This window comes from Homo sapiens, chromosome 20, assembly GCF_000001405.40.
Source record: "Homo sapiens chromosome 20, GRCh38.p14 Primary Assembly".
NCBI classification, from domain to species: Eukaryota; Metazoa; Chordata; class Mammalia; order Primates; family Hominidae; genus Homo; species Homo sapiens.
The window spans coordinates 52782797-52791642 of NC_000020.11; positions in this window are offsets into that span (position 1 = coordinate 52782797).

Consider the following 8846-nt stretch of genomic DNA (forward strand, 5'->3'; position numbering starts at 1 on the left):
GAGTCTTTCTGCATTGACCACCATAGGGTCATCTTTCCTGGGTGTCAGGAAATTGAGTTGGAAGAGATGGGGAGAGAATTACTTGGTAGTTGTCTGGAAGTTCTCCATCCTTCTTCATCTTGTCCCATTTTGCATTTTTCTAAAAATAGAAGACAGGAGGGAGCCTGAAGTCACACCCCTGCTGCTTCTGTGTTTTCTTCTGGAAAGTAGTCATGGAAAATTGGGGTTCCCATGGTCATGTTAAAAGCGATCCCAGTATCCAGACTCTGGTTTGTGGTGTGAAAGGCAGAGTACACAGCATCTTTCTTTTTGACAGTTACAAATGTTGCAGGCACAAAGTGGCTCTGGGGTCGCTCACTGTAGAAGCAGCTTCTTAATCCTGAATCAGGAAGTGTTCTTGAGGCCATAGTGTCGCAGTGGCAGCTTCCTGATTCACCATATTTCTGATGTTTGCAGAGCTCAGAGTTTCCTAGTGGGCCATTTCTGCCATACTTTTCCACTCACTCCTAGAGGTGATTTTTCAGGCCTTCCAGCAATGATTAGGTGCCCCAGTACATTAAATATTCTCTGCATCCAAATCTTACTGATGCAGGATGGTGAGCTGATAGTTTTAAAGCAGCTGCAAGGGAAATTCCCCTACCATGTTGCAAAGTGAAGAGAATCAGAAAGTTAATTCCATTCAAACACGGAGAATCAGAAAGTGGCAGGATTACTGATAGGGATTTGCATTTTGTGGTGAGGAGAGAGCAGCTTTAACTTTCACGATCAAGACTAAATGAGGCCATATCACTGGATACTGGTACAGAAAGCAATGATGACCAGTGACCAGAATCCCAATCTCTAGAATGTAAGACTCAACCTCAAGTAAAGGGAGTTTGGGAGACTCCAAATTAATTTTATGCCACCTGATTTAAAAAATGACAATGAAATTAAGTTTGGAGACAGAAAAGTAAATGTGTCTTTTTTGCACCCTAAGCATTTGGATTAAGATCAAATCTACTACTGAATAGAAGCCACCAATAGGAGTGCTTGCAGGTGCCAGCCACAGGGCTTGTCAGGCTTTAATGCACTTATTCCACTTACTCTTCATGCCAGCCCAAGGAGGTGGGGCTGTTAGTATTCCCATTTGATACATGGACAAAAGGGAGGCTCAGAGAAAGTAAGTTACCTGACTGCCCACCTCAAGGGGGCGCCAATCAGAATTCAGGCTTAGGATTTGCATAGGGGGAGCATCACAAGTGGATGACGAATTATGAGAAAAAGACAAAGATTTGGAATGAGAGAGAGGGTTGACTGATTCTTGAACAGTCATATGCAGCATGAGCCTGTTGCATGGAAAAGGGAGGGAAACTCTAAGAGAATCCAAAAGTGAGAAGAGACTCACGCATCTTTTCTAAGTTAATATGGGATCACCCTCTTCTCTTATTCCCCTAGGTCATAATGGCTGCTGTGCCAAACACTTTGCTCCCATCTCCTCCCATATTAGTCTGTTTTCATGCTGCTGATAAAGACATACCCGAGGCTGGGTAATTTATAAAGAAAAAAGGTTTAATAGACTCAAAATTCTATGTGGCTGGGGAGGCCTCACAATCATGATGGAAGGCAAAAGGCACGTCTTACATGGTGGCAGACAAGAGAGAATGAAAGCCAAGTGAAAGGGGTTTCCCCTTATAAAACCATCAGATCTCATGAGACCTATTCACCACCATGAGAACAACACCACGTGGGAACTACGGGAGTTACAATTCAAGATGAGATTCCGGTGGGGACACTGCCAAACCATATCACCTCCTAGGTAGGTGCTCTGAACAGTCCACAGCAAGTTGAGTTGTCTAAAATTAAATGGGCTCAGCTCATATTCACTTATTTTCGTCTTAAAAGTGGGCTCAGAGAGATGCTTCCCACCTCAACTGTAGTGGAGAAAAACGGGGTATTTTCCCTCGTCATGAACAGCAAACAGATTCATAGGAAGACATCTCCCTCCAAGTGGGGGTCCAGATGGCCACTGCACTACTCTGGGTCAAGACATACAAGAAGCAGGCCAAAGACGAGGGTCATTCCCAGCATCCTTCCCAGTTCTGAGTCAGGTGTAGGCCAGGCACTTGCATGGGAGGCTGCCTCTGCCCTTTGTTGGCTTCTTGGCTCTCTCCTTCACCAGCTCACTCACACCCTGGCTCCTTCACTCTGCTTTGCACTCACTGCCTTAAAGCACTGTGGTTAAGAAAGTGGGCTTCTGGATTTGCATCCTGGCTCAAACACTTATTTGTGACACACCCTTGGACAAAGGTTTCACCTCTCCATATCTGTAAAATGGGATGGTTTTTATTCACATGGCTATTGTAATGATGCCATGAGTTAAAACTGGTCAAGTGCTTAAAACAGTGTCTGGAATACAGCAGATGCTCATGAAATCTTAGGGTGTTTCCCTCATTTATTTTAGAACCATATGTTCCCAAGCCTCACTCACTGACATACCAATTTCATGATTTTTGCCACATTCAAGTACCCTCTGTAATAGTACAGTATTTGCTTATTATTTTATCTAACTCAAGTTGCTGTAAGTAATCATATCAAGGATAAAAAGGATTTAATATGTGAGTTTAATTTTTTCCAACATCTAGTTCTTCATTCCTTAGAGACCAAAATTTAAAAGTTAAATTATCTTAGGCATATACCATCAATGGGATGGGAGCTACATTTTAGGAAAAACTTGTGTGAGTAATTGTTTTCACACTTACTTTTGCTTACTTTATTACTAGTTTATTAATTTACTGATTTCTCTAGTCATTCAATTACTCATTGGGTCACTAATTAATAAAAACATTTTTCAGAGTCATTTACTGAGGACCCAATGGCTTGTGTCCTGTGACGGATGGAAGCTGGAGGCTTGCAAATACCAACCAGGTAAGTCCTTTCCCTGGGGGTCCCGATGAGGGAATTGGCCACACAAACAAGCAATTATAGCAGGAGGTCAGGTGTGGCAGAAGATTTGGGAGCCTAGGGGGAGGAGGACTCTTCCTGTTGCCTAGGGGAGTCTATGCTCCTGCACTCAAATGATTCTCCAGGGCATACACTCAGCCCTTCCCTCTTCATGACGCAATCATCCCGGGTCATTGCCAAGTGGTGGGAACGTTTATGAGGAAAGTCTTCCGTGTTGAGTTAAACAATGAAGAAAGTACTAGGATTGGATTCTGCCCAAAACGAAGATGCTTCATGCAGTCTTTCCTTCATCCCTTCCTTTCAATACATATTTACTGAGTACCTACTGTGTGCCTGACACTGAGAATTCAGTCTCTGCCATCATGGAGATTAAAATCTACTGTGGCAGCCAGGTGTTATGGTACAAACACTCATACAAACAGTAATTTGCTTATAATTGTGACAGTTGCCAGGAGAACATCTATAGTGTTATGAGAGTATGTAGAAAGCTCCAATTAGATTAGGGAGTTAAGGCTGTCAACTCTGAGAAGGTAAAATTGAAGGAAAGACCCAAAGAATGAGAAGGAGCTTGCCAAGGTGTGTGGGTGGTGGTGATATAGTAGGGAAAAGCAGTGTTACAGGCAGAGGCATCTCAGCATGTAGAAGGGCTGGACATGGGATGGGCTTGGCAACTTGGAGGAACACAGCTTTGATGGATATTAGGAAAAGATCTAGAAAGTGGGATACGGAAGATGAAGCTGGGGAAAGATGGTGTTCACGATCACCTGGGACTTTGTAGGCAATATATTGTCTACCTTTATCCTAAGTGCAATGGGAAAAAATATGTGAAGATTTTAGGTAGAGGAGTTTCCCAACTTGATTTACATTGGGGAACTCTCACTCTGACTGCAGCATGGAGAACGAATTGGGAAGGGCATGAACCTGAGCTGAATGCCCAAGTCAAGGGTAGGAAAAGTGCAGAAGAGGGCTGATGAAAGTGACGAAGCAGATGACAAAAATATTCTGAATGGATCCTGTGAATTAATTGCCAAGGTGATGCCCCCGAGACCAAGCAGGAAGAGGGCACTGAGGAAACCAATGTCACAGTTATATTTAGAGTTTCCCTTGAAGCTCACGCTCTGGAAAAAGTATGGGCTCTGGAGCAAAGGAGGCTGAGGTTCATATCCTGCCTTTCTTTCTTTTTTTTCTTTTTAATTTTTGTGGGTACATAGTAGGTGTATGTATTTATGGGGTATTGTCTGTAGTTATTTTGCAGCTTGACCTTTACCTCTGAATTTGCCCCCATTTCTTCATTTACAGAATAGAGATAACAGCACTGCCCTCATAGCGTCACTGTAAGGCTTGAATAAAGAGTCCATGGAAATTCTGGCACATAGTAGGTGCTTACTAAAGTGCAGTATAGAAGTAGGATTGTTTGTGTTCTTTTTCTCTCTAGATGCCGCAGGGAACCAAGCGTTTTCATCAGTTTTACAACGTATTCTAGAGAAGCAGCCATAGTGTAAAAATATTCTTTCTGATATGCTGCACATTATAGCAAATGGCATTATTCATGGATGTGTCAAAGCCATAAAATAGGAGATTTTGAGACGATCACAGCTGTGAATGATTAATATTTTCATCCCAAGATGCCACAGAGGTACCAAGGCTATGTTAATTATTACATGCCTGAGCCTCGTACTGTGGGCTTCCTCCCCAAGTGCCTGTTAATTTGCTCATATGCTGTGCAGCTGATGGGACTAGAAAACTCTCCACTCAGAACACACAGTGGATCTCTGGCAGTTCCTTATGTCCCTAATAACTGCTTTATACTTCTGCGGAAGGAAAAAAAAAATGAACAATCTCCAATCCAACAACAATGATGGGGTTTAAGCAGAAGAGAAACGTTAGTAGAGAAATGTTTTATCAAAGATAACTTCAGGCTTTTCTTTGTGTTTGCAATTTACTTATCCATTTATTAATATACTTCTGAATATTTTGGATGCTGTATTGCAATCACAAATATCTGTACTATCATCTTTCAAATTTTTTTCATTTTTACCAAATTTTAAATTTCTCTGAATTATTTCCCCATTAATATTTAAATGTATTTTTACATGTATCAATTGTTTTCTTTAAAACGTACCTGCCTCCCAGATGTAAGGAAAGCAACTCTATCTCTAGGAATATTTGTTTAAGCTTCAATGTTGTGTGTCTTTATTTTTGAGGAGTTTGATTTCATATATTCACCTTCTAAAACCGTTTTTTAAAACATAGATGGATTTTTTTTTTAAAGCAAGGACCAAGAGCTGAGTCCTCATCCTCAAGGTAAATTTGTAAATTTCTCTAAACCCTAGTGTGCTCTTATACACTGAACCAATTCCTTCTGCAATTTCCGTAAATCTCTCTATTCATACGATCTCACTAGGATCAGTCTCTGTTGAAAAATCTAGTTTAAGCTGCCTGGCAGTCTGAAAAGAGGAAGATCTATTAATTTAATCATTTGTGTGAATCATGTCTAAATGGTCTCAGCAGAGAAAATGTGTTAGCCATTTAAATCCCATCATTACATATTATATAATAATTACTGCTAATTCTAGTTTGGATGGGCCACAATTTGGCTTTCCATTCCCTAAATGTGGAGGGTAGGATGACCTCACCGAATTTAGCCTCTGCAGCTTCTAGGCTTTCTCTTGCCTTCCTCATTACGAACTTAATAGCCACATTCAGCTCCAAGCGTCCAGTCCCCGTAAGGTCTGTTTTGTGCTCATAATTAGTATTCATTTTGTGATCACCGAGTTCACCCTCAGCACAGAACGGAGCCTAATGTTAATCACTGCTGTGCCTCCCTCCCTTTGACTCTGATCTGTCAGCATCGTGTGGCTTGTCCCATACCTAATTTTTTGCCCTTACCAGCCAACAAGCACCTCCACATCGCGCAGTGTCAGAATTAGAAACTTTTGACAGATCTGTAATCATGCAGTTCTCATCAACTCTATGCATGCTAGTCATTTCATTTCCACATTCGAACAGTTAATATGCCTTAATTTCTCTCACTTTGTGAATATTTAATTCCTCCCTTTTCAACATCATTTTTAGGTTGTGTGAATCATTTTCAAAGCCTTTGCTCTGTTCCCGCACTATCATCTGCATATTTTATGAAATGGCACGGTTGAGTCTCGGAGGGCTCTTGATAAAAATGGAACTGGCAGCCTGCTCATTAGCTGTTTACCTGGAGCTGTGTGAGCCCCCGATAATGGCGAGCTCCCATTTGGATTCGAATTAGGATTCTCTGACGAATCACCACCAGCAGCTTTCTCCAGGACGTCCGCTCCTCCTCCGGTGCCTCTCTCTCCCCATCGCAGAGAGTTTCCAGGAAACTTGCTTTTGGGGGCTGTCCTAGGGAACGTTACACCCTGGCATCTGAGGCAGTTTAATTTTTGAAGCGGAGACACAGAAGCTTTAGCAAATTAGCACCTCTAAGGATGGCAAAATTCCCCTGAAAGGACACATTCTGAAGGTCTGGTTGGTTGACCTTCCAGAGCTTTACAGATGCCAGAAGTCAATTCCCTGCTATAACGAGGTGACCAGTTGTCCCACTTTGCCTGGGACTGCAGATCCCCAGAGCATGAAACTTACCATTTTGAAATCAGGAAAGTTCCAGGCAGTTGAAGATGGGTTGGTCACCTTCGCTGTAACTCACTTGAGGGCTTGTATCATGTTGTCAGTCTCTGAAGTAGATGGGAAGATCTTCAGTGGCTTTTACAAACGGGCTGAGCCACTTCTGTGATTTACCAAGAGGACTTAGAGAAGAGCACAGGCCATAGCCCTGTGGTCTTACAAGGTTGGCTTGAAAACCAGAACTGTTTTGATGGACTTATAGCTTGCACTTAAAAATCAGGAAATTCGTATGTAAAAATGCAGGATTTCTGCCTCTCTTTGAAAACCAAAGACATGGCTCTGCGATGTGCCCATTCTTTTTAGAAATGATTGATCAGTTGGAGCCAAACAGGGACTATCCCTTTATATGGGGCATCCGCTTTCCGGTTTTATAACCCTCCCTTTATTGCCCCCAGCTGGATCCATTCATTCTGTGTACCTATTTGGTTTCAGTTTGCATCTGATTTTGTGCTTCTGGATAGAAGTTGAGAGCACTGGCTTTGCAGTAAGATTCAAGTCTCAGTTCTATTATCTTTTAGCTGCCTGACCTTGGCCAAGATAAACAAACACACTTGGTCTCAGTTCTCTCACCTGTAACTTGAGAATAATAAAAGTATACTAGTATAGCAATATCTTATTATAAATATTACATTAAGTAAGATATGTACATTGAAGAAATGCATATAAATGGCTTAGAATGGGCCTGGATAGTAAGTATTCATTAAAAGTGCTTGGTTTTTTTCTTCTTATTATTTTATTATTATTACCTTTACAGAAAAATGAACTGAAACCCAGAATTCCCTGGTGAGCTACTTAATATATAAATAGACACTATGTGAACACAAAGAATAAAAGAATATTACTGGCATTAAAATATTTTGTATTTTATAATGTATCTTGGAACCAAATATTGAGGTATACTCAAAGCAATTCCAGGTGACCACCTGTGTAATTAATGAGGCAATTGACAAAGCTACAGGAAACAAAACATTCCGTTTTTTATGTACAGATAATCTTGTCTTCCTTTTTGCATTAGTAAATCCTCCAACACCTTTTTGAATTCCATAAACCTATACTTTTTATACAGAGTGAATTCCTTTGTAGTAGAATCTGTTTCCTTAAGATTTCCTCCTGCTGAAATGATTTTATCCTATAGCAGCCTTGTGTTACTGGGGATTTTATGGCCAGGCAAAAGTGATATACTATTAATACCTTGGATTTACACAGCAATTGTTCTTTTGAATAGTGCAGAGGTACTAGACGATTCTCAAATATATGGTATTTGATATTAATGAGGAAGATGTTATACCACAGGAAACAATTGTTTATTTTTTTAATGTTTCCCCCTTCTCTTTTAAAACAGACTCCTGTAACACTACATGCTCAGAGTTTTTCTAAGGAGATATTTGGGAAGCGCTATTGTTGCGTGAAAAGTATTTTTGATTCTGGGTCATTGAAACCTGGATTTGAATCCCTGGTCCCTGATGCTCTCTGGGCCTGGCACCCACAGAATGCTTATTTTTGAAGAGAGTTGAATAAAGGGACTCTCTACAAAGCTGTGGACAGGATCTAGGGAATATGCCAGGAATAATGGAGCACCTGAGGGGTGGTAACAGAGGGGCTCTTTCACTACCTTTACAACTGAAGGGGCAAGGGGAAGGAGAGATGACCGGACTTAGGAGACAAAGGGCTGTGTGGAGAGGGCTGCCCTGTCACAAGAGGGTCCCAGTTGGCTTGTTATGACCCCTTGGGGTGGGATCAAGGGGGAAAAACATGCTGAGATCACACAGTCCTTCTTCCTTCTAATTTCCTGGCAGAATTCCCCGTTGGTCAAACCCAACCAGAAGCTTCAGAAAAAGGAACATAATCTTTGTGGGAGTTTGTACTGCTTACCCTCTCAGGACACAGAGAGCATGCAGACAGTACAGGAGGAAATGGAACAAACCCAAAGTCACCAGATGTCTCTGAACAAGTTGTTCAACTTCTCTGAGACTCTCTCAGACTGAGTTTACTTCTTAGTAAATAAAGCTACATAATACCTACCTCAGAGTGTTGTGAGAGAATGAAATGAGATAATACATACATTATCTGGCACAGTCCCTTGGCACATAGTAGGTCTTTCTGAGAAGCATGAAACAGGTTAGTGCTTTGCCCAGGCCATTTCATCTTCAAGGCAACATGAGTTGAGAAAGGCTTGGGTGCTAGAAGCTTTGTGAAAATGTTTGAGCTCTGAAAATTCAAGTCATGATTTCAAAATATAAAATTAGTCT